This window comes from Homo sapiens, chromosome 13 (genome assembly GCF_000001405.40).
Source record: "Homo sapiens chromosome 13, GRCh38.p14 Primary Assembly".
Lineage (NCBI taxonomy): Eukaryota > Metazoa > Chordata > Mammalia > Primates > Hominidae > Homo > Homo sapiens.
Genome location: NC_000013.11, coordinates 95,349,412 through 95,375,131, shown reverse-complemented (window position 1 = coordinate 95,375,131; position 25,720 = coordinate 95,349,412). Strand labels below are relative to the sequence as shown.

At 45.1% G+C, this 25,720-nt stretch overlaps 1 long non-coding RNA gene across 1 annotated transcript in view; it reads left to right on the top strand.

The window, feature by feature from the left end:
• LOC124903193 (uncharacterized) overlaps positions 1–23,710 on the top strand; it is a 53,667-nt gene extending 29,957 nt beyond the window's left edge. The window contains exon 2 of the long non-coding RNA XR_007063839.1: positions 23,419–23,710. This is a non-coding gene — a long non-coding RNA (uncharacterized LOC124903193). The remainder of the gene's footprint in view (positions 1–23,418) is intronic.
• The last annotated feature ends 2,010 nt before the right edge of the window (positions 23,711–25,720 follow it).

The window sequence follows — 25,720 nt, the reverse complement described above, 5'->3', positions numbered from 1 at the left end:
GAGATCTGAAGAAAGTAAAATTGGGTGGTGAGTTTATGGATGTTGTAAGGTGTGAGATTGTTGTGGTCAGGGAAAGCTTCTCTCAGGAGATGACTTCATACCTGCAATCTGAATGAGAAGGAGGTAAGGATCTGGGTGAAGGGCCTTGCAGGTGTGCAGGTGGAAGAGACAGTGATTCCACAGGCTAGATGCCAGCATCAAGCTTGGCAAGAGTGGGAATGCAAAGAATGGAAAGGAGGCCCCAAGTGACTGAGGCCAATGGTAAATAACAGAGGGAGGCAGCAGGCTCCTGTGAGAAACGACTTCTCTATCCATACAATAGATTATGATTTTACCATAAAGAGAAATGAAGTACCGACACATGCTACAACATGGATGAAGCTTGAAAGCATTAGGCTAAGCAAAGAAGCCACACACAAAACACCCCATATTGTGTGATAGGAAATGTTCAGATTGGGAAAGTCTGTGGAGACAAAAAGTAGAGTAGTGGTCTCTTGGGGCTGAGGTGGAGGGATGCCTAGCAGGGAAGTGACTGTGGAAGGCAAGCAGTCTTTCTTTTAGAGGTGATAAAAATGTTTTAAAATGCACTGTGGAGCCAGGCACAGTGGCTAATGCCTGTAATCTTAACACTTTGGGAGGCCGAGGGGGCAGGATCCCTTGAGCCCAGGAATTCAAGACCAGCCTGGGCAACATAGGGATACCTTGTCTCTACAAAAAAAAAAAAAAAAACTCAATTAGCCAAGCATGGTGGCATGCACCTGTGGTTCCAACTACTTGGGAGACTGAGGCAGGAGAATCGCCTGTGCCCAGGAGGTCGAGGCTGCAGTGAGCTATGATCACACCACTGCACTTCAGCCTGCACAACAGAGTGAGATCCTGTCTCAACATAAATAAATAAAAGGACTGTAGTGATGGTTGTACGTATCAGTGAATATACTAAAAACCATTTAATTGTACACTTTAAAAGGGTAAATTGTGTGGTACGCGAATTATATCTCAATAAGGCTCTTAAAAAAAGAAGAAGAAACTACAACTAGATTCTCAACTTCTCCTACCTAGGGATGGAGACTGCAGGTCACCTCAAAAGTGACTGTGTGGATCCAAGTCCTCTGGGAAGCAGACATGAGGTAGAGTTAGAAGTGCAAGAGGCTGGGCATGGTGGCTCATGCCTGTAATCTGAGCACTTTGGGAGGCTGAGGCAGGCGGATCACAAGGTTAGGAGTTGGAGACCAGCCTGGCCAAAATGGTGAAACCCCGTCTCTACTAAAAATACCCTGCTGGGCGTGGTGGCTCACACCTGTAATCCCAGCACTTTGGGAGGCTGAGGCAGGTGGATCACGAGGTCAGGAGATCGAGACTACCCTGGCTAACACGGTGAAACCCAGTCTCTACTAAAAAATACAAAAAATTAGCTGGGCATGGTGGCGGACGCCTGTAGTCCCAGCTACTCAGGAGACTGAGGCAGGAGAATGACGTGAACCTGGGAGGCGGAGCTTATAGTGAGCCAAGATAGCGCCACTGCACTCCAGCCTGGGCAACAGAGCCAGACTCTGTCTCAGCCTCCTGCGTAGCTGGGATTACAGGTGCCCGCCACCATGCCTGGCTAATTTTTGTATTTTTAGTAGAGACGGAGTTTCACCATGTTGGCCAGGCTGATATTGAACTCCTGAACTCGTGATCCGCCTGCCTCGGCCTCCCGAAGTGAGCCACCATGCCTGACCCCTAACAATCTAAAAAATTACTTTAAATTTAGAAAAAGGGTGTTAGTAGAGGGTATTAAATATATATATAATTCTTTTTTTTTTGAGACGGAGTCTCACTCTGTCACCAGGCTGAGTAGCTGGGACTACAGGCACGTGCCACCACGCCCAGGTAATTATTTGTATTTTTAGTAGAGATGGGGTTTCATCATGTTGGCAGTGGATGGTCTCGATCTCTTGACCTCGTGATTTGCCCACCTTGGCCTCCCAAAGTGCTGGGATTACAGTCGTGAGCCACCATGCCCGGCAAACAAACAAACAAACAAACAAACAAAGAATTCTAAAGGAGAAGGTAAAACAAGGTACAGATCTGAAATTTAAGGTTAAAATAAACTGTGTGTGCGTACAATGTTTCATAACTTTTAAAAAGGACGCTTGCTGTCTTTCCGTGCTTATTTTTAAGGTCCCTTTACCAGATGACCTTAAATTCACTCAGTTTACAGTTTCCGGCTGAAGAAAGCTGCTCTTGGATGTTTTTGGTTTTCTCCTTAGTCATTTGGAAGAATACAAATTTTGCAGTTCAGGGGCCAGCACATTTTATTCTCAAAGCAATGCCACTGAGATTTGTGTTTGTAGCTAGACATGGGAGAAAGTAAAACCAGAAACATCAAATGACTTACCCAAGGTCAAGCCAGGATTTGAACCAGGCCTGGGCAGCTCAGCGCAGGGTCATCTATCCTTTTGCATGAGCAGCTTGGAGTAATGAATTCTGCCCAGCAAGGATGAGGCAATTGGCTGAACAAAGCAGATGGGCTCCCTCTTGGGCTGGAGAAAGCAGAAAGAGTTGGCTGGTTATTAGACAAGGAGGGCAGAAGTCATCCATGGCATGAGGCGGAAGTGTTGAGTAGCAAGCAAGCTGGGCAACCAGGGGCAAGTGAGAACCCCCCAGGGCTGCCTGGCCCCTGAATAGCCTCAGACATAGATGGCTCACCAGTCCCTGTCCCTGGGAGCCCTAAATAAATATCTTTCCCTTTGGTGGGGCTTGTTCATTGCATCCAAAATGCAAGGAGCTCATCTACTAAATTATGAGAAAGGACAGGAGAGGCTGGGCGCAGTGGCTCACACCTATAATCCCAGCACTTTGGGAGGCTGAGGTGGGCAGATCACTTGAGGTCAGGAGTTCAAGATCGGCCTGGACAACATGGTGAAACCCCATCTCTACTAGAAATACAAAAATTAGCCAGGCATGGTGGCAGGAGCCTGTAATCCCAACTACGTGGGAGACTGAGGTAGGAGAATCGCTTGAACCTGAGAGGCGGAGGTTGTAGTGAGCTGAGATCGTACCACTGCACTCCAGCCTGGGCGACAGAGTGAACCTCCGTCTCAAATAAATAAATAAATAAATAAATAAACAAACAAACAAACAAACAAAAATTAAAAAAAAAAATTAGCCGGGTGTGGTGGCAAGTGCCTGTAGTCTGAGCTACTCGGAAGGCTGAGGCAGGAGATTTGCTTGAACCCAGGAGGCAGAGGTTGCAGCGAGCTGAGACTGCGCCATTGCACTTCAGCCTGGGCGGCAGAGCGAAACTCCGTTTCAAAAAAAAGAAAAAGAATAAGAAAGAACAGGAGAAATATGGCAGAATATTAAGGAAGGGGGGAATCAACAATAGAGCTTAACTTGGAGCATGATGTGCTGAATATCATGTCTTTGGAGTGTACTTTGAGAAAATGCAAAACATGCTGGAATTTTTATCTGTGACACTCGTACAGATTATTACTCCTTAAAGAAATTCTTGGCCAGGCACAATGGATGGCTCATGCCTATAATCCCAGCTCTTTGGGAGGATGAGGTGGTAGGACCACTTGAGCCCAGGAGTTGGAGACCAGTGTGGGCAACACGATGAGCTCTCTTCTTTAAAAAAAGAAAAAAGAGAAATTTTTATATCTTTTAATATTGGGATTGCTTTAATTGAGTAATCAACTTTTCTTGTCTTTATTCTATAAATATAGCATCAATTTGGGATCCTGACTTGGTTCTTACAAATGCATTTTGTACAAACTCCATTAACTGAAGCCAATTTGTTTTCTATTCTTTAAATATGCCATAATTGGCTGGGCATGGTGGCTCACGCCTGTAATCGTAGCACTTTGGGAGGCTGAAGCGGGTGGATCACTTGAGGTCAGGAGTTTCAGACCAGCCTGATCAACATGGTGAAACCCTGTCTCTTATACTAAAAATACAAAATTAGGCTGGGCACGGTGGCTCATGCCTGTAATCCCAGCACTTTGGGAGGCCGAAGCGGAAGGATCACCTGAGGTCGGGAGTTTGAGAGCAGCCTGACCAACATGGAGAAATCCCGTCTCTACTAAAAATACAAAATTAGCTGGGCATGGTGGTGCATGCCTGTAATCCCAGCTACTCGGGAGGCTTAGGCAGGAGAATCACTTGAACCCGGGAGGCAGAAGTTGTGGTGAGCCAAGATCTCGCCATTGCAGTCCAGCCTGGGCAACAAGAGCGAAACTCCGTTTCAAAAAACAAAGAAAAAATTAGCAGGGCATGGTGGCGGGTGCCTGTAATCCCAGCTACTCGGGAGGCTGAGGCAGGAGAATCTTGAACTTGGGAGGCGAAGGTTGAAGTGAGCCAAGATCGCGCCACTGCACTCCAGCCTGGGCAACAGAGTGAAACTGTCTCAAAAAAAATTTTCTACCAGCTTTTTCGAAGAGTCAGTCTGAGGATCCTTGCGCTGTGCTGTTCCCCTTGCGCTTGAGCACAAGCCCCAAAATAAAAGTCGTGTCTAGGAAATCTGCTTGGCCCAGTGTTACGTTTTTATTACATGGGGAGTCAAACAGCCTGTGGTCTGTAACATCTTGTAAGTTTTTATGAAGTCCAATCAGTAAATTATGTGAAAAATACGAATCAAACTATTAGTATAAGATCATTTCTATATGTTACTATGTTTAACTCTATAAATTAGTAATTCTAAAACTGTCCCCACAGGGTTGATAAGAATTGCATGTCTTGTTCTGGACAGAAATATAGCTATGATTAAGCAATGATCAGGCTGCACTTTAGCCTACTTTCTTGTTGCTAAAAGTTACTAGAGACTGACCATTCGCATACACCCCTTGTTCCTATAGAGGGGACTTCTGGCATTAGGGTCATAAGACTGTTTAAGAATTGATTTGATGGGAGACTGAGGTGGGAGGATCACTTGAGCCCAGGAATTCGAGATCAGCCTGGGTGACAAAGTGAGACCCCCATTTCTGTATTAATTTAATTTTAATTTAAGGGTCTTTTGTTTAAGGATCCCTGAAGATGTTTTTCATTTTTATTTTTAAGACAAAGTGTTGTTCTGTCCTCCAGGCTGGAGTGTACTGGTGCAATCTTGGTTCACTGCAACCTCCACCTCCTGAGTTCAAGCAATTCTCCTGCCTCAGCCTCCTGAGTAGCTGGGATTACAGGCGTGTGACACCATGCCCAGCTAATTTTTGTAGTTTTGGTAGAGACAGGGTTTCACCATGTTGGCCAGGCTGGTCTCAAACTCCTGACCTCAAATGATCCATCCATCTTGGCCTCCCAAAGTGCTGGGATTACAGATGTGAGCCACTGTGCCTGGCCTTCTTTAAGATGGTTTTTGGATACTGCATTCAAGCAACCAGTTTGAAGACCTCCACTGTGGAACAGGATTAGCATGAGAACACAGCTTCTTCATCCTTCTTTCCCATAACTTCAGCCTGCACTCTTCAACCAATCAACAATCTCTACACTTCAGCCCACCCTAAAACCCTTAAAAACCCTACCCCCAAGCTCCTCAGGGAGATGGATTTGAGGTTTCCTCCCATCTCCCCTGATATGGTTTGGCTCAGTATCCCCACCCAAATCTCACCTCAAATTGTAATCCCCACATGTCAGGGGAGGAACCTGGTGGGAGGTGACTGGATCATGGGAGTGGACTTCCCCCTTTCTGTGCTTGTGATAGTGAGTGCGTTCTCATGAGATCTGGTTGCTTGATCATTGTCTGGCTTTTCCCCTGCACACTCTCCCTCTCCTGCCGCCTTGTGAAGAAGGTGCTTGCCTCCTCTCCTCCTTCCACCATGATTGTAAATTTCCTGAGGCCTCTCAGTCATGCTTCCTGTTAAGCCTGCAGAACTGAGTCAACTAAACCTCTTTTATTCAAAAATTACCCAGTCTCAGGTAGTTCTTTATAGCAGTGTGAGAACTGACTAACACATCCCCGTTTGGTGAACTTATGATTACCCTTTCTCTGCTGCAACCCAATGTCTCAGCATATTGACTTGCTGTGTGCATATGGTTACGACTCAAAATTGGAGCAATTTGATGATTAAGATGAAGTTCATTTATTGGCTAGAATTCTGCTAGAATTCACAGAGCTAGTTCAACGAAAAAAATAGGATTGTTTGACCACAGAGTATGTCCATCCTGTTCTCCATGATGCCAAATCATCTTTGCAGGAAATTCAGGGAAGAATTCTGTTGCTTCTGCACCCATACCAGAAAACTACAAATGGCAAAACTAAATCCAACCTAGAGAAAATATTTTAAAATGACTATTAAAAAAAAGATAACAAAAAATAAAGAAAAAAACACAAGGGGAAAAAAAAAGAAAAAATATATATTAAGGGCCAGACATGGTGGCTCACACCTGTAATCCTAACATTTTGGGAGGTCCAGTTTCAAGGACCACTTAAGCCCAGGAGTTCAAGACCAGCCTGGGAAACACAGGGAGACCCTGTCTCTACAAAAAATAAAAAATTAGCCGAGTGTATTGGTGTGCACCTGTGGTCCCAGCTACTAGGGAGGCTAAGGTGCTCAAGTGGGATCACTTGAGCCTGGGAGCTTGAGGCTGTAGGGAGCCATGATTATGCCACTGCACTCCAGCCTGTGCCACAAAGTAAGAGTCTGTCTCCAAAAAAAAAAAAAAAAAAAAAGTATTAATTCATACTCTGTGACGTGTGTGTGTAAGAGCACAAATCTTTTTTTTTTTTTTTTTTTTTTTGACACAGAGTCTTGCTCTGTCACCAGGCTGGAGTGCAATGACACAATCTGGGCTCACTGCAACCTCTGCCTCCCAGGTTCAAGTGATTTTCCTGCCTCAGCTTCCTGAGTAGCTGGGATTACACCACCACCATGCTTGGCTAATTTTTGTATTTTTAGTAGAGATGGGGTTTCACCATGTTGCTCAGGCTGGTCTTGAGCCCCTGACCTCGCGATCTGCCTGCCTCAGCCTCCCAAAGTGCTGGGATTACAGGCGTGAGCCACCGCGCCTGGCCCAAAAGCACAAATTCTGAAGCCAGATTCTGGTCCAAATCCTAGCTCTGGGAGCGGGTGTGGTGACTCATGCCTGTAATTCCAGCACTTTGAGAGGCCAAGGTGGGTGGATCACCTGAGGTCAGGAGTTCAATATCAGCCTGGCCAACATGGTGAAACCCCATCTCTACTAAAATTACAAAAATTAGCCAGGCTTGGTGGCCAGTGCCTGTAATCCCAGCTACTTGGGAGGCTGAGTCAGGAGAATCTCGTGAACTATTGCAATTCCCCTGTCTTGATAAATCATCTCTGTCTAGTTGTTACAGGTAGTTAGATAGGCATGAGCCAGGCAGGAGAGGGCTCTCTTCCCATCCACTAGGAAGGTCAGGTGATTAGACAATTATCACACTGTCTTTCTAAAAATGATAACTCTGCAGTGGTGCCAGGGCACCTGGGAGAGACGGTCTCCTGATGATCCACAGCTGTTAACATTAAAGTGTTAATTGAATGCAGATGCCCGGGAGAAGAAACTTCCTGGGCATGCACACTAAGAGATAAAATGACAAAATATGGCCTTCCGGGGATACTTCACCAGAAAAGGGAAGAGAGCCTCAGATGGCATGAGTATACCCTCCTAAACACACTGCACATGCTCAATTCCCCAGGGTAAAGGGAGCGCTGTGCAAGCAGGAAGTGCCCACTAAGGGAAGAACCATGGTAAAGAGGTGAGCCTATGAAGTCCTGGAATTAATGTTAAATGCTCTTTTTGACCTTCAGGCGCGTCTTGGATCTCTTCCAAGTGAACTTTCCTTTCTTTCCTGTTCTAAAGCCTTTTAAAATAAACTTCTACTCCTGCTCTGAAACTTGCCTTGGTCTCTTTTTCTGTTTTATTCCTCTCAGTCAAATTCTTTCTTCTGAGGAGCCAAGAATTGAAGTTGCTGCAGACCCATATGATACACTGCTGGTAACTCGGGGTAACTCGGATATCTTCCACTGGTAACATAGGCAGTGGGCAGGGTGAACCCATTGGGCAGTTACAGTTTTGGAAGAGTACTTCCTTAAGGATGACTGGTAGCGTTGGCTGGGCACGGTGGCTCACGCCTATAATCCCAGCACTTTGGGAGGCCGAGTTGTGTGGATCACCTGAAGTCGGGAGTTCGAGACCAGCCTGACCAACATGGAGAAACCCCATCTCTATTAAAAGTACAAAATTAGCCGAGCATGGTAACACATGCCTGTAATCCCAGCTACTCGCGAGGCTGAGGCGGGAGAATCGCTTGAACCCGGGAGGCAGAGGTTGCGGTGAGCGGAGATCACGCCATTGCACTCCAGTCTGGGCAACAAGAGTGAAACTGTCTCTCAAAAAACAAAAAACAAAAAACAAAAAAGAATGACTGGTAGCATCTCGGCTGGGCGCAGTGGCTCACGCCTGTAATCCCAGCACTTTGGGAAGCCGAGGTGGGTGGATCACCTGAGATCAGGAGTTCAAGACCAGCCTGGCTAACATGGTGAAACCCCATTTCCACTAAAAATACAAAATATTAGCTGGGCGTAGTGGCGCATGCCTGTAATCCCAGCTACTCGGTAGGCTGAGGCAGGAGAATCGCTTGGACCCGGAAGGCAGAGGTTGCAGCCAACCAAGATCGTGCCATTGCACTCCAGCTTGGGCCACAAGAGTGAAACTCTATCTCAAAAAAAAAAAAAAAAGCGTAACTGGTAGCATCCCATCAAAATATAAACCAGCTGCCCTTTGCGCCCTCTTTGCCTGCCCCCCAACATCATGTTCTGGTTCCCGTTTGGATTTACTTTGGACAATGTGGTTGGAATGCATCTGGCTCAGAACTATGACATACCATATCAGGCTAAAGAACTTGAAGAAATTCGGCCAGGCACGATGGCTCACACCTGTAATCCCAGCACTTTGGGAGGCAGAGGCGGGCGGATCACCTGAGGTCGGGAGTTCGAGACCAGCCTGACCAACATGGAAAAAAACCCCGTCTCTACTAAAAATACAAAATTAGCTGGGCATGGTGGTGCATGCCTATAATCCCAGCTACTCGGGAGGCTGAGGCAGGATAATTGCTTGAACCCGGGAGGCAGAGGTTGCGGTGAACCGACATCACGCCATTGCACCCCAGTCTGGGTGACAATATTTTTATTGACAATATTTTATCTCTCCACTAGAACATGAGTTCTGTAGGAGGTATGACTTTGCCTTGTTTTGTTTGCCATCTACAGCAGAGCCTGGTACATAAAAGGAGATTAACAATAAATTTTTGAAACTCCATCTCAAAAAAAAAAAAAGGAACTTGAAGAAATTCAAAAGGACTTGGATGCCAAAAAAAGAAGTCCCCTGGTTCATGAGGCTGACTCTAGCACTGCCTTCTGAATATACTGATTCGACCACTCTTGAGGGCCTCCTTTACCATCTGAACAATCATCCCCAGGCACAGTGACTTTTTTCTTTGCTAGGGCCTGTGTTTTTTGCCTTAGAGCAAAATTGGGGCCCCAAGTTGAGAACTACCCGTCCACTTCCAACATCCTCACCTCTTCCTATATCTTCCTTTGAGCTTCATGGGAGGTTCTAAGACTGGAATTGCAGAGCTAAATTAGTAAAGATGAGTTTTAGTGAGGATTAATACATGAATGAATGAATAAATACATAAAATCAAGCCAAGCAAAAATGAAAACTGTTCAACCAACACACTTGCAGTTTATTTTACCAAAACCATACAGGTGTTTTGTTTTGTTTTGTTTTGTTTAAGAGACGGGGACTTGCTATATTGCCCAGGCTGGTCTCCAGCTCCTGGGCTCAAGTGATCCTCCCACTTCAGCCTCTTGAGTACCTGGGACTGCAGGTGTGTGCTACCACACACAGACTATTCCATCTTTACATGTAGCTCAGAACTCAGTAACAACTTGATCACAGGAACTGAATCTTATGTTTTCTTTTAGTTTTAACATCGAAGTTGAAAAGATTTGCAAAGAGAGTCAGGGCACAGTGGCTCACACCTGTGATCCTAGAATTTTGGGAGGCCGAGGGGGGAGGATTGCTTGAGACCAGGAGTTTGAAACCAGCCTGGGCAATATGGCGAGACCCCATCTCTATAAAAATAAAATTAATTAAAAATTATTTTTAAAAATCAATAAAAATAAAAAGATTTGCAAAGGGGAAATAAACAGAATATTTGCTTGACTAAATTAGGGAAGGGAAAGGTATGTGTCAAAGATGACTACTTTAGAATCTCAGCTAGAAAGAAAAATAAAGGGAGGGCTGTCAAGAATGGCCTCCTGGCTGGGTGTGGTGGTTCATATCTGTAATCTCACCAATTTGGGAGGCCTGGAATTAGAGACTAGCTTGAGCAACATAGTGAGACTCTTTTCCTACAAAAAAAAAACAAAAAACAGAATGGCCTCCAATTAGTGGTAGGAAAACAAGTTCAGGGGTTTGAGAAGCCTATAATGCCAAAGTGAATATCCAACATTCTCCTCATTATGTAAATTCTGACGTCCTAAAGAAATCATAGTTGTTAGGTCGGACACAATGGCTCGTACCTATAACCCCAGCACTCTGGGAGGCCAAGGTGGGAGGATTGCTTGAGCTCAGGTTGAGAGCAGCCTGGGCAACAAAGTGAGACCCCATCTCTACAAAAAAATCAAAAAGTTAGCCAGGCATGGCGGCTTGTGCCTGTGATCCCAACTACACAGGTTGAGGTGGCAAGACTAAGGCAGGAGGATTACTTGGGCCCAGGAAGTCGAGGCTGCAGTGAGTTGTGTTCATGCCACTGTGCTCCTGCCTGGGCAACAGAGCAAGACCCTGTCTCAAAAAAATTAATTAAATTTAAAAAAACTATAGTTGCATCTTCTAGCAAGATAACCACATGTTCTTGTCCTCACAGTTGGGATTCCAATAAGTATCCTGTAGTTTAGGGGTAATCAAAAGCCTGAGGCCAGGATCTGCTCTAGAAGTATCTTCCCTTGTGCCAGGCACAGTGAGTGGCTCATGCCTGTAATCCCAGCATTTTGGGAGGCTGAGGCGGGTGATCACGAGGTCAAGAGTTCAAGACCAGCCTGACCAAATGGTGAAACCCTGTCTCTACTAAAAATACAAAAATTAGCTGGGCACCTGTAATCCCAGCTACTCAGGAGGCTGAGGTAGGAGAATCACTTGAACCTGGGAGGCAGATGTTGCAGTGAGCCGAAGTTGCGCCATTGCACTCCAGCCTGGGTGACAGAGCGAGACTCCATCTCAAAAAAAAAAAAAAAAGAAAGAAAGAAAATATGTTCCCTTGCACACTTCCATGAGCTGTTCCTCCAGTAGCAAAAGCTGGGGTCCCTGTTGTCATTGAACTGTGGGTGCTGTTGTAGAGACAGATAATGAAACTGAGAAAGGGGAAATGGAGCTGGGAACCCAAGGCTCACTTAGCCAAGGAAGCTGTTTGTCCAGCCACTTTAGCTTAGGGGTGAAGTAAGGTCATGGAGACCCACTAGTGGTCTCCATGTGCCAGGGACTCATGGGAGACCATCTATGAGTCCCTTGCCCAGCTTCCTTCTGAACATCAATGAAATCCCTCTGTCCTCCAAGTTTCCAAGGCTGTTCCTGAACAGCATCACCCGTGCTCATGAGTAGCCTTGGCTCTCCTCCGGTTGTAACTGTTCAACAGGTTCTCCTTGCCTATAGTCCAGATAGAGCCAATTTATCAAGACAGGGGTACTGCAATAGAGAAAAAGTTTAATTCACGCAGAGCCAGCTAAACAGGAGACTGGAGTTTTATTACTCAAATCAGTCTCCCCCAAAATTCAGAGACTGGGGTTTTTGTTTTTTAAATTTATTTTATTTATTTTATTTTATTTTTTCTGAGATGGAGTCTTGCTCTGTTGCCCAGGCTGGAGTGCAGTGGTGCAGTCTTGGCTCACTGCAACCTCTGCCTCCCGGGTTCAAACAATTCTCCTGCCTCAGCCTCCTGAGTAGCTGGGACTACAGGCGCCCACCACCACGCCTGACTAATTTTTTTGTGTTTTTAGTAGAGACGGGGTTTCACTGTGTTAGCCAGGATGGTCTCAACCTCCTGACCTCGCAATCTGCCCACCTTAGCCTCCCAAAGTGCTGGGATTACAGACGTGAGCCACCATGCCCAGTCATACTTTTTAAGTTTTTTTAAATGATTAAAATTTTCTTCATTTCTCATTTTTTAATTTTTATAATACTGAGCCATCCATTTCCTATGAGACTGGAGTTTTTAAATGATAATTTGGACAGGGAGTGGGGAGTGCTGATTGGTCAGGTCGGAGATAAAGTTATACGGAGTCAAAGTGGGTACTTATTGCTGTCTTCTGTCCCCGGGTGGGATGGCAGAACTGGTTGATCCAGATTACGGGACTGGATGGTGTCAGTTGGTGCATCAGAATTCAAGGTCAGGAAAATATCTCAAGCACTGATCTTAGACTTTACAGTAGTGAGATTATCCCTAGGAGCAATGGGGGAAGTTTGGAATCTTGTGGCCTCTGGGGCTGCATGACTCCTAAACTATGATTTTTTTTTTTTTTTGAGATGGAGTCTTGCTCTGTTGCCCAAGTTGGAGTGCAGTGGCATGATATCAGCTCACTGCAACCTCCATCTCCCAGGTTCAAGCAATTCTCCTGCCTCAGCTTCCCAAGTAGCTGGGACTACAGGTGCATGCCACCATGCTTGGCTAATTTTTGTATTTTTAGTAGAGACGGGGTTGCACCATGTTGGCCAGGATGGTCTCCATCTCCTGACCTTGTGATCCACCTGCCTCGGCCTCCCAAAGTGCTGGGATTGCAGATGTGAGCCACTGCACCTGGGCAACTCCTAAACTATAATTTCTAATCTTGTGTCTAATTCGTTAGTCCTACAAAGGCAGTCTGGTCCTCAGGCAAGAAAGGGGTTTGCTTTGGGAAAGGGCTGTTATCATATTGAAATGGCCTTGTTGTCTGGAGTAATACCCAAGGTTTGTTGTCCCATGGTCATGGAGAACGAGGACATGGGTACAAAAAAGTGAGGTTAAGAGCAGAAGTTTAAAAAGAAAAAGAAAGAGAAGAGCTCTCTGCTGCAGAGAAGGGTCCTGGAAAAATGGGTAGCCAAATCCATTGTGAAATGCAGGGGGGTTTATAGATAAGCTTGTGAGGAGGTGGTGCCTGATTTACATAGGGCACAAAAAACTGGTTATGCCATTTGCATAGGGCGTGAATTTCTTGTATCCCCACCCTAATCTTTTTTATGCAGGCAGGTTCTCTGCCTGAGCTGTGCCATGTTGCCCTTTTCTCTATTACTGCACATGTGGTAACAAAAAAAAGGAAGATGAAGCCTCGATGTTGGACATGCCTGGCCCCCAGATAGCCCTTTTCTATTGGCACAGTTGCTGGCATTTGCCCACACAAGCTTCTAGCTTCCTTATCTATGTCTGCAGCTCGATTTTTCAGGCTGCTCTTTGTTAGAAAATAAATGATTTGGGGGCTGCTTTTGTCAGAAGAGAAGTTCTGCTGAGGACTCTGTTGCCTTCACTATTTGCCCATATAATTTCTTTCTACCTTCTGTGTCAGTATTTGTTTCAAAGTTAAACTGTAAACTAAGTTCCTCCTAAAGTTAGTTTGGCCTACATCAATGAACGAGGGCAGCTTGGAGGTTAGAAGCAAGATGGAGGCCGGGTGTGGTGTCTCATGCCTGTAATCCCAGCACTTTGGGAGTTCCAAGGCTGGTGGATCATCTGAGGTCAGGAGTTTGAGACTAGCCTGACCAACATGGTGAAACACCGTTTCTACTAAAAATACAAAAATTATCTGGGCGTGGTGGCAGGTGCTACTTCGGAGGCTGAGGCAAGAGGATTGCTTGAATCTGGGAGGTGGAGGTTGTGGTGAGCCAAGATTGTGCCATTGCACTCCAGCTTGGGCGACAGAGCAACACTCTGTCTCAAAAACTAAACAAAACAAAACAAAAAGCCCGGGTACAGTGGCTCACGCCTGTAATCCCAGCACTTTGGGAGGCTGAGACGGGCGGATCACCTGAGGTGGGAAGTTTGAGACCAGCCTGACCAACACAGGGAAACTCCGTCTCTACTAAAAATACAAAAAAATTAGCCAGGCGTGGTGGCACTTTCCTGTAATCTCACCTACTCCAGAGGCTGAGGCAGGAGAATCGCTTGAACCCGGGAGGCAGAGGTTGCGGTGAGCCAAGATCGTGCCATTGCACTCCAGCCTGGGTAATAAGAGCAAAATTCTGTCTCCAAAAAAAAAAGAAAGAAAGAAAAGAAAAGCAAGATGGAGTGAGTCAGGTCAGATCCCTTTTGCTGTCATAATTTTCTCACTCCGATAAATTTTGCAGAAGTAGTTTAACTGTAGTCAAGCAGTCACCTGCTGACAGCATGTATCTCCCGGGGGTGTTGTGATGGTATCTTGCCACTTGAGGTGGAAACTGTGTTTGTTGTCCTTCCAGCTCAGCTTTAGGAAAAACTCACACAGGGATGGGGGGAGGCACCCTCCTATTAATACTGTCAGAAATGCTTCAGCCAGAGTGACTCTATCTTGAATAGGGGCTGAGAAAAACGAGGCTGAGACATGCTGGGCTGTATTCCCAGAAGGTTAGGCATTCTTAGTCACAAGCTGTTTATGGTTAAGAAACAAATTAATAATGTTTACCAAACAGACACAGGACTTAACAGACCCAGAAAGGTCCTGATGTCCCCATATCTCAAGAACAAAAGCATTCCTAGTCCAAGAATAAGTTTAAAGATAATAATATCGATTCTTCGGAAAGGTGGTAATTACAAAGATTAATCCTTTATCATGAACCTTGTAGTCAGCACATCTCCCCATGATTTGTTTGTTATCTTATATGTAAACAAGCATTGCACCCAGGGTGGGTGCATTCCTCCTCTTACTGTCAGGAACACCCTATTCTGTCTATGGAGTAGCTATTCTTTCACTCCTTTGCTGCATTATTTCACTTTACTATGGCCTTGCCCTGAATTCTTTCTTGTGCGACATCCAAGAGCCCTCCAGTGGGGCCTGGATTGGGACCTCCTTACCAGTAACAATACATTAGACACTCAGTCCAGAGTTGCTGCCCATGCTTTGAAGAAATGCAGTGCTTTTCTTTCAGGTCAATGCTACCCTCTAGGACATAAACAGAGGTACAAATGACTGGGCCAGCACACCATGTGCATTATACCATCTTACTATGCTACATTCCAAATCCCTGTCTTCATGCAGACAAAGCTTGTGGACCTAGATCCTCCCTCACAAAAGGGCAAACTTTCCTTGGGCCAGGCATGATGGCTCTCTTACCTGTAAACCCAGCACTTTGACAGGCCAAAGCAGGAAGTTTGCTTGAGCCTAGGAGTTTAAGACCATCCTGGAGAGTATAGTGAGACCCCATCTCTACAAAAATAAAAAAAAAACAGCCAGGTGTGGTGGCATGTGCCTGCAGTCCCAGCTACTTGGGAGACTGAGGGAGGAGGATTGCCTGAGCCCAGGAGGTCAAGACTGCAGTGAGCTATGATCGCATCACTATACTCCATGCACTCTGGTCTGGACAACAGAGTAAGACCCTGTCTCAAAAAAAAAAAAAAAAAAAAAACAAAGAGAGGACAAACTTCCAATGCAGTACCCTGTGCAGGAAACAAAGCAATGGCCTTTGTCCCTCAATGCTTTAGATCTGGGGTTAGTGATCAGTGTCTTCCACTGTGTTCTCTGCCCTTCCTGGGGACCCTTCAGGCCCAGGTCAACCTCCCCTCCCACCACACTGGCAGGGGAGAGGGAAAAATGGCTTTCATCCACCTTCCTAGGACTTTTGACTGGGCTACAAATTAAATTGACATGAGACAGATTAACAGGAGAAAAAATATTGTAGCTGGGCACGGTGGCTTATGCCTATAATTCCAGCATTTGGACACCAAGGTGGGAAAAACAGCTTGAGCTCAGGAGTTCGAGACCAACCTAGGCAACATAATGAGACCTCATCTCTAAAAAAAACAAAAAAAAACAAAAAAAAACAAAAAAAAGGCAGGAGGATCGCTTGAGCCCAGAAGATCAAGGCTACAATGAGCTGTGATCGCACCACTGCACTACTGTCTGGGTGACAAAGTGAGACCCTGCCTCAAAAAAAATATGAAAAAGAAAAGTCATTTTATTATATGTACTTGCATGGGAACCCCACAAAAATGACTGAAGGGCCAGATGACTGAAGCTTATATAACATCCTGAGCTACAAACAGGAACAGTGGCCTGGGGCTTCTGATGGGAGGTGGGCAGGGTTAACAAATTATGGGAGAGCAGGAGGAGAAATGTATGGTAAATAAAATTTGCCTTGTTAGGCAGATAAAAGTCTTTCAGGTGTCAAAAGTTGCCTGGAACAGCTTTCTTCGTGGTACAGGCACATTTACTAATGAAAATTTCCTTCATAGATGTAAATTTCCTTTACAAAAGGGCAGGTTTTCAGAGCTGCTCATTTGTCTGCAGTTTCTAAAAAAAAAAAAAAAAAAGACAACAAGCCAAGCAGGCTAATAATATGCCAAAGAGGAATAGTTTGGGTATTTCGGGGTGGTATGTCCTGGGCCCCAACAACACCCTCACTCCCACCCCACTGGTGGGACCCAGTGTGGTCACTTTCTCTAGGACCCTTATTACGATCAATGATTTCATAAAGCCCTCCATAATCACCCAGGCAAAATGTGGGCCAGCTCTCTTTCTTTTTCATTATCCTTTAAGTTGCCTTCTTGCATAGTCTCCAAGGCACTCCTGGGATTGTCTTTGGTTTTACCAGGACAAAAACAGGGAGAGGTGGTGGAAAGGCAGTCACACATGACTGAGGAGGCAGGTCTTTGAACCTCCCTAAGGACAGATCCTGACACTTAGGGGTCTCTCCTAATTTTCCACAACTGGAGGAATTAGATTTTGCTCTGTTGGTCTTGTGAGGGTTTCCTTTGTGTAATCACCGAATGGATTCTTCCTGCCGACTGCACAGACAAAATGAATTCACTGAGACCTCAGCACCGCAGTAAAGAAAGAGTCTAGGCTGGGCTTGGTGGCTCACACTGAAACTGCCATTGCAAAATCATAACTGAGACAGTGAAAGAGATCTGACCTAACCAACTCCATCTTGCTTCTAACCTCTAAGCTGTCCTTGTTCATTCTTGGGTGTAGGCTGAACAAACTTTGTGGGGAACTTAGTTTATAGTTTGAAACAAAGAGATAACAGCCCGTTCCTGAAACAAACCCCCTTCTTGCCTATGGACCAGTTTGGCCTTTGTAGGACTAACAAATTAGACAGAAGATTAGAAATTATGGTTTAGGAGTTATGTAGCCAAAGGCTACAAGATTCTGACCCTCCCCAAATTGCTCCTGAAGATAACCTCACTATTGTAAAACCTAAGATCAGTGCTTGAGATATTTTGCAGACCCTGCACTTGATGGATCAGCCGACATCACCCAGATCAAGAAACTGGCTCATTTGGTCTTGTGGCCCCCACCCAGAAACTGACTCAGCACAAGAGGACAGTTTTGACTCCCTATGATTTTATCTCCAACTCAAGCAATCAGCAAATCTCAACTCACTGGCCCCTACCCAGCAAATTATCTTTAAAAACTCCAGTCCCCAAATGCTCGGGGAGACTGATTTGAGTAATTATAAACTCTGGTCTCTCATCCAGTTGGCTCTATGTGATTACTCTTTCTATATTGCAATTCCCCTGTACTGATAAATTGACTCTGTCTAGGCACTGGGCAAGGTGAACCCACTGGGCAGTTGCAACACCTGTAATCCCAGCACTTTGGGAGGCAGTAGGATAACTTGAGTCCAGTGTTAGCAGCGGGTCTGCGGCATACGGGTCTGCAGTAACTCGATTTTTGCCCCTTCAGAGGAAAGAATTCATCTGAGGGGCATAAGGCAGAGTGAGAGACTGAGGCAAGTTTCAGAGCAGGAGTAAAGTTCTATTAAAAAGTTTTAGAGCAGGAACAAAAGGAAGTAAAGTACCCTTGGAAGAGGGCCAAGCAGCTGACTTGAGAGATCCAAGTGCTTGGTTTGACCTTTTGATACCAATAGATATCAAAATAGCTGGGCTCCTGGCTAAACCCCACCCTTAAGCCTGGAACTGCAGCCCTAAGTGAAAAGAGCTGATCCTTACTTTTCTATCCAAATGTTTACTTTTTGGCCTGCCATGCCCCTATCCTGTGCCCATAAAAAGACTTCAGCTGGCAGAGCAACACAAGCAGCTGAGTGGCGAGCAGAGAAGCAACTGAACCTTGGAGACTGTGGATAGACACCGCTAACCTCAGATGGTGCAGCTTCAGGGAAAGATCACCTTCCTGCACCATCCCCTTTCCAACTCCTATCCCACTGACAGCCACTTCCATCGTCAAATAAAATACTCCACATACACTACCCTTCAATCTGTTTGTGTGACCTGATTCTTCCTGGATGCCAGACAAGAACCTGGGTGCCGGCCGGGCGTGGTGGCTCATGCCTGTAATCCCAGCACTTTGGGAGGCCAAGGCAGGCGGATCATGAGTTCAGGAGATCGAGACCATCCTGGCTAACACGATGAAATCCTGTCTTTACTAAAAATACAAAAAAAGTAGCTGGGTGTGGTGGCAGGCGCCTGTAGTCCCAGCTACTTGGGAGGCTAAGGCAGGAGAATCACTTGAATCTGGGAGGTGGAGGTTGCAGTGAGCCAAGATCACACCCTGCACTCCAGCCTGGGCAACAAGAAATGAAACAGTCTCAAAAAAAAAGAAAAAATTCAAGGTTATGGGTTTTTGGCCAGAATACCACAGACATGATATTGTGTCCTTGTCAGTATATCATATTAGGAGATACATGATGTAGATATGTTTCAATACTGGTGATATTAACTCCATCACACATTTCTCCACTGTAAATTTACTATTTTCCCTTTGAATTTAGGAAGACTCTTATCGGAGTATACTTTGAGTCTATGCAAATATCCTGTTTGCCTTCATGCTTTTGCTTACTAATAATTTTGCCATTTACTCTTGCTAGCAACTATTATTATTTTTATTATTTTGAGACAGGGTCTTGCTCTGTTGCCCAGGCTGGAGTGCAGTGGTACAATCATGGCTAATGTCAGCCCCCTAAGTAGTTGAGACTATAGACATATGCTACCATGCCTGGCTAATTTTTGTAGAGATGAGTTTTCACCATGTTGTCCAGGCTTGTCTGGAACTCCTGAGCTCAAGTGATCCTCCTGCCTCGTCCTCCCAAAGTGCTGGGATTATAAGCATAAGCCACCACACTCAGCCGCCTGCAACTATTATTATGGTGGTATTTGCCACAAGGGGTTTTAAGTTTCTTTCCAGATACTTTTGAGTTCATCTCCTTGTCTCTGAATCCCATTTGCGTGTCCCCAGCTCCGCCTCTACGTTTATTGACTGGAATTTCCTGTATAAAGGAGGCTTCTGCTCACTCTTAAGTGAGAGTGGGGCTGACTGTTTTCTGACTGTGTTCTGGCTGGTTTGTGATGATGATTCATGGATGCCTCTGTCCAGGGGAGAAATTAGAAGGCCCGTGGAAAGGTAGCAGCTTTTTGACCCTGAAGAAAGGAATTAGATTTCAGTTTTCTGTCATTTTTCTATGAGTTTTGATACGCTTACATTGCCATGAACTTATATAATTATGACACTTTTTAAGTAAAATAGATCATAACATGACTGACTACCTTCTGGGTGATTAGATATACATTAAGTCAGAAAAAAAGGAAAGAGGGCCAGGTAGCAACAAAAAGAAAACTTAGCCTTCAATTCCAGCTGCTTGTCAAAAGCAGAGAAAGAACACTGTCCTCAAACCCAGCGTGAATGAAATGATGACCTTTATGAACCCTGACAGCTTTAGAGAATCAAACAAAGCCTTTTCATTGGACTTGGCAGGAGCCTCAGGAGTGCCTTTGACTCAAGAACAAAACTTTGATTTGAAAGGGGCTATGGCTTCTATTTTTCCTTCATAGGAGCGAAAAATGCAACCTTTCCTTTCTTACAGAAAACTGCACTCTATAGGTAATGAAATAAAGGCAGGATGTTTTGTTGAATGAATTCCAAGTGTTTTAGGGTTGGGAATTCACCATTCTTCACAATGCTTCCTTACAGGCAGGCAAGGGATAGGGAATTATTATTCTTTGTGTAAAAACCAAGGAGTGGGGGCACTGCTGAAATGAAAGAGAACAAGCTGGTCTCTGCAGACAGGCAGGCTGAGGGTTGGGAGGCTGGACAATTGCAGCCCTCATTGGTCCAGGTTTGTTGGCAGTCTCTCATATAACTTCATTCCAGAACCCTCCCTCTGCTGTTGTCACCTCTCATGGTTTGCTATTCACATATCTAGACTTCCCTTGTTCAAACATAAACCTGGAAACGCACTGCCTCGCTGATCTTCAATCAATTCCTTGGTCAGAGTTTAACCCTCCATGCACATTGTATCAACCAACAGCAGAAGGGTGGAAATGAGCTCTCTTCCTCATGTTATCCTTTTTGCCATCTGACTATGAGTATTTCTCAACACAAATTAGACTGGATTCTTTTTTCAGAGCAGGTAGAATGTGGAAGGAAGAAAGTAGAGAGGAGAGTTGAGGACAGGGCTGCCGTGATGGCTCTGTCCACCCAGATACTGTTGAGTTCATCACCTTGTCTCTCAAATCCTATCTGCTCATCCCCAGCTCCACCTTGGCCACTCAAGTCCAAGTAATCATTATTTCTCTCCTGGATGACTGTAATAGTGAGAAAGAAGCCCTGTATTCACTCTAGCACAATGGTTCCCAAACAGGGGTAATTTGGCTCCCCCTGGGGACATGTCCAATGTCTGGACATATTTTTTTTCTTTTTTCATTTTTTTCAGAGACAAGGTCTCACTCTGTCACCGAGGCAGGAGTGCAGTGGTATGATCATGGCACCTGCAGCCTTGACCTACTAGGCTTAAGCGATCCTCTCACCTCAGCCTCCTGAGTAGCTAGGACTATAGGTATGCACCACCAAGCCTGGCTAATGTTTTTTGGTTTTTGGTTGTTTTACTTTTTGTAGAGATAGGATCTCTGTATGTTGTCCAGGCTGGTCTTGAACTTTTGGGGTCAAGTGATCTTCCTCCATCGGCCTCCCAAAGTGTTGGGATTACTGGCGTGAACCACCATGCCCAGCCTGGACACATTTTTGGTTGTCACAACTAAGTGGGGAGAGGTGCAAATGCCATCTACTGAGTAGAGGCCAGAAATGCTGGTAAACATGCTGCAGTGTGCAGGACAACCTCACACAGTAAAGCATTACCTAACCCCGAATGTCAGTAGTGCTGAGGTTGAGAAGCTCTGCTTCTAGTTCCCCTGCAATACCTCATATATAGAACCATGATGTTTCCTGAAAGGGTAAGTCAGATCATGTCACTCTATTGCTTATGTTAGGGCACAGAGAATGATACCCCAAAGTATGATACTTGGGCATGCTGAGCATTTTTAAATGAATGGAAATCCAAGGGCCTTAGAAGCTGCTCAGAATCAAGGCCTCTCTAACCTCTTGTTTCTCTCCCCCTGGTGCAGGGAGGAGCTCTCCCTGGAAGTTACCTTATCACACTGAGGAAAGCTTCTTCCAAAAGAAATGCAATTATCAGTGGCTCACACCTGTAATCCCAGCACTAAGGGAGGACAGGTGGGTGGATCACCTGAGGTCAGGAGCTTGAGACCAGTCTGGCCAACATGGTGAAACCCCATCTCTACTAAAAATACAAAAATTAGCCAGGCATGGTGGTGAACACCTGTAATCCCAGCTACTCAGGAGGCTGAGGCATGAGAATTGCTTGAACCTGGGAGACGGAGGTTGCAGTGAGCCAAGATCATGCCACAGCACTCCAGCCTGGCCAAGAAGAGCAAAACTCCATCTCAAAAAAAGTAAAAATAAAAAAAATAAATAAATAAAAAACCCCTCCCTAGGAAACTCATCAAATAGCCAGGAATGATTAACCACCAGAGAAAAGACTAAAAGTCATCACCATCACCATATCCAACAGACTTCATCTATTCTCCTGAGGGCAGCTCTAAGACATTATCTGGGAGACTTAATCTACATAATAAGACAACCTTTTTTCTCAGTGAAGTTCCACCCCTCAGCTTTCCGAAACCTCCCTCAGAGCTCAGAAAACCTTTGTCCCAGGACATTTTCTGTTCTTTGGGCTCATTCATTATTCCCTCACAATCACCTATGTCCTCCATCTCCCTTTCCCCTATGAAAAGGGTGCTATTTAAGCCTCAACTACCTGGCCCTTCTTTGAGTCTCTTGTGTTCATGGGCACTTTAATAAATTTGTATGCCTTTTTTCTTGTTAGCTGCCTATTGTCAGTTTGTTTGAGCCTTCAGAGGGAAAGTTTAAACTTCCCTACACTTAAAACCTTTCAGGCTGGACACCATGACTCATGCCTATAATCCCAGCACTTTGGGAGGCTGAGGTGAGCAGATTGCTTGAGCCCAGGAATTTGAGACCAGCCTGAGCAACATGGCAAAATACCATCTATATTAAAACAAACAAACAAAAAACTTCTCAGTGGTTTCCTATTATTCTTGGTGCCAGAGGTGTTTGAACCAGAGCAACTTCATCTTGAACGGGGCTGGGTAAAGTAAGGCTGACACCTACTGGGCTGCATTGCCAGGTTAGGCATTCTTAGTCACAGGATGAGACAGGAGGTTGGCACAAAGTACAGGTCACAAAGACCTTGCTGATAAAAGATGCAGTAAAGAAGCCGGCCAAAACCCACCAAATCCAAGATGGTGACAAAAGTGACCTCTGGTCATCCTCACTGCTCATTATACACTAATTATAATGGATTTGCATGCCAAAAGACACTCCCACCAGCGCCATGGCAGTTTACAAATGCCATGACAACATCAGGAAGTTACCCTATATAATCTGACAGGGGGGAACCCTCGTTTCCAGAAATTGTCCATCCCTTTCCCAGAAAACTTATGAATGAATAATCCCCGCCTTGTTTAGGATATAATCAAGAACTGACCATAAAATTAGCCAACCAGCAGCCCTTGGGGCTGCTCTGCCTGTGGAGTAGCCATTCTTCATTCCTTTTCTTTCTTAATAAGCTTCCTTTCACTTCACTCTATCTACCCAGATACTGTTGAGTTAATCTCTGCTGAGGTTTTCCTTTGAATTCTTTCTTGTGCGAGATCCAAGAACCCTCCCTTGGGATCTGGATTGGGACCCCTTTCTGGTAACGTTAGTATGAGAATTAAAACAAAAAATCCATAGTTCCTTGAAAATGCACGATCCATCCTCCACGCTCCCTCTTTTCTTGTGTGTAGTAGCCAAACTGACTATTCCTTTATTTCTAGAAACCATCATACTTCTTCCTACCTCATGGGTTCTCAACTCATGTGATTCCTTCTTGTAAATAAGTTCCCTCGTTCTTACCAGCCTCTCCCCTTTTGCCTACTTACAACAGCCTTTGAACCCCTCAGAAGACCTCAGCTCAAAGGTTACTACGTCACCGAATCTCTCCCTGACCACCACGCTGTGAAGTAGCCTGGGAAGAAAGGCCATCTCAGCTCTTCCAGCTGTCCTACCTGAAGCCTGAACATGTGAGTGAAACCACTGTGGACTCCCAGCTTTTGCTGAGCCCTCAGGTTTCTGCAGCTGTAGGAGTGAATTCACGTGAGGCGAGTGGCAGAGCTACCCGATCGACCTTCACAATTGTGCTAAATAATAAATAAGTAAACGATGACTGTTTTTAATCACCTGTGTCTTAGGGTGGATTGCTATGTAGTAACAGGTGCCTTATTCATTCTTCTTTTATTTATTTATTTATTTTATTTTATTTTATTTTATTTTATTTTATTATTATTATACTTTAAGTTTTAGGGTACATGTGCACAATGTGCAGGTTAGTTACATATGTATACATGTGCCATGCTGGTGTGCTGCACCCATTAACTCATCATTTAGCATTAGATATATCTCCTAATGCTATCCCTACCCCCTCCCCCGACCCCACAACAGTCCCCAGAGTGTGATGTTCCCCTTCCTGTGTCCATGTTTTCTCATTGTTCAATTCCCACCTATGAGTGAGAACATGCGGTGTTTGGTTTTTTGTCCTTGCGATAGTTTACTGAGAATGATGATTTCCAGTTTCATCCGTGTCCTTGCAAAGGACATGAACTCATCATTTTTTATGGCTGCATAGTATTCCATGGTGTATATGTACCACATTTCTTAATCCAGTCTATCATTGTTGGACATTTGGGTTGGTTCCAAGTCTTTGCTATTGTGAATAGTGCTGCAATAAACATACGTGTGCATGTGTCTTTATAGCAGCATGATTTATAGTCCTTTGGGTATATACCCAGTAATGGGATGGCTGGGTCAAATGGTATTTCTAGTTCTAGATCCCTGAGGAATCGCCACACTGACTTCCACAATGGTTGAACTAGTTTACAGTCCCACCAACAGTGTAAAAGTGTCCCTATTTCTCCACATCCTCTCCAGCACCTGTTGTTTCCTGACTTTTTAATGATTGCCATTCTAACTGGTGTGAGATGGTATCTCATTGTGGTTTTGATTTGCATTTCTCTGATGGCCAGTGATGGTGAGCATTTTTTCATGTGTCTTTTGGCTGCATAAATGTCTTCTTTTGAGAAGTGTCTGTTCATGTCCTTCACCCAGTTTTTGATGGGGTTGTTTGTTTTTTTCTTGTAAATCTGTTTGAGTTCATTGTAGATTCTGGATATTAGCCCTTTGTCAGATGAGTAGGTTGCGAAAATTTTCTCCCATTTTGTAGGTTGCCTGTTCACTCTGATGGTAGTTTCTTTTGCTTTGCAGAAGCTCTTTAGTTTAATTAGATCCCGTTTGTCAATTTTGTCTTTTGTTGCCATTGCTTTTGGTGTTTTAGACATGAAGTCCTTGCCCATGCCTATTTATTTTTTTTGAGACAGAGTGTCACTTTGTCGCTCAGGCTGGAGTGCAGTGGCACAATCTCAGCTCACTGCAACTTCCATCCAGTTCTCCTACCTCAGCCTCCTGAGTAGCTCCTCCTACCTCAGGCTCCGGCCACCACACCCAGCTAATTTTTGCATTTTTAGTAGAGACTGGGTTTCACCACGTTGGCTAGGCTGGTCTCGAACTCCTGACCTCAGGTGATCTGCCCACTTCGGCCTCCCAAAGTGCTGGGATTACAGGGGTGAGCCACTGAACCTGGCCAACCCCATTCATTCTTTTTTTTTTCTTTTCTTTTTTTTTTTTTTGAGATGGAGACTCGTTCTGTCACCCAGGCTGGAATGCAGTGGTGCAATCTTGGCTCACTGCAAGTTCCACCTCCCGGGTTCAAGCAATTCTCCTGCCTCAGCCTCCCGAGTAGCTGGGACTACAGGTGCCCACCACCACACCCGGCTAATTTTTTGTATTTTTAGTAGAGATGGGGTTTCACTGTGTTAGGCAGGATGGTCTCAATCTCCTGACCTCATGATTCGCCCGCCTCAGCCTCCCAAACTGTTGGGATTACAGGCGTGACCCACCGCACCTGGCCAACCTCATTCATTCTTACTGGAGTCTTTGAGTTGACCTCTAAGGAGAGCTCCTAGATATTGTATGGAATTTTCCCTTCACCCCCCAGCTCTGTCATCCCTCACAGGACTGTTGGTCAAGACCCATGTTGCTGAGTCATAGTGCACTTGAGAAGATGATGCTGCCTTCCTACCAGGCCAATAGAGGGGATGCCACGGGGTGGGAGGAGGCTGGCCGTCCTTCCCACT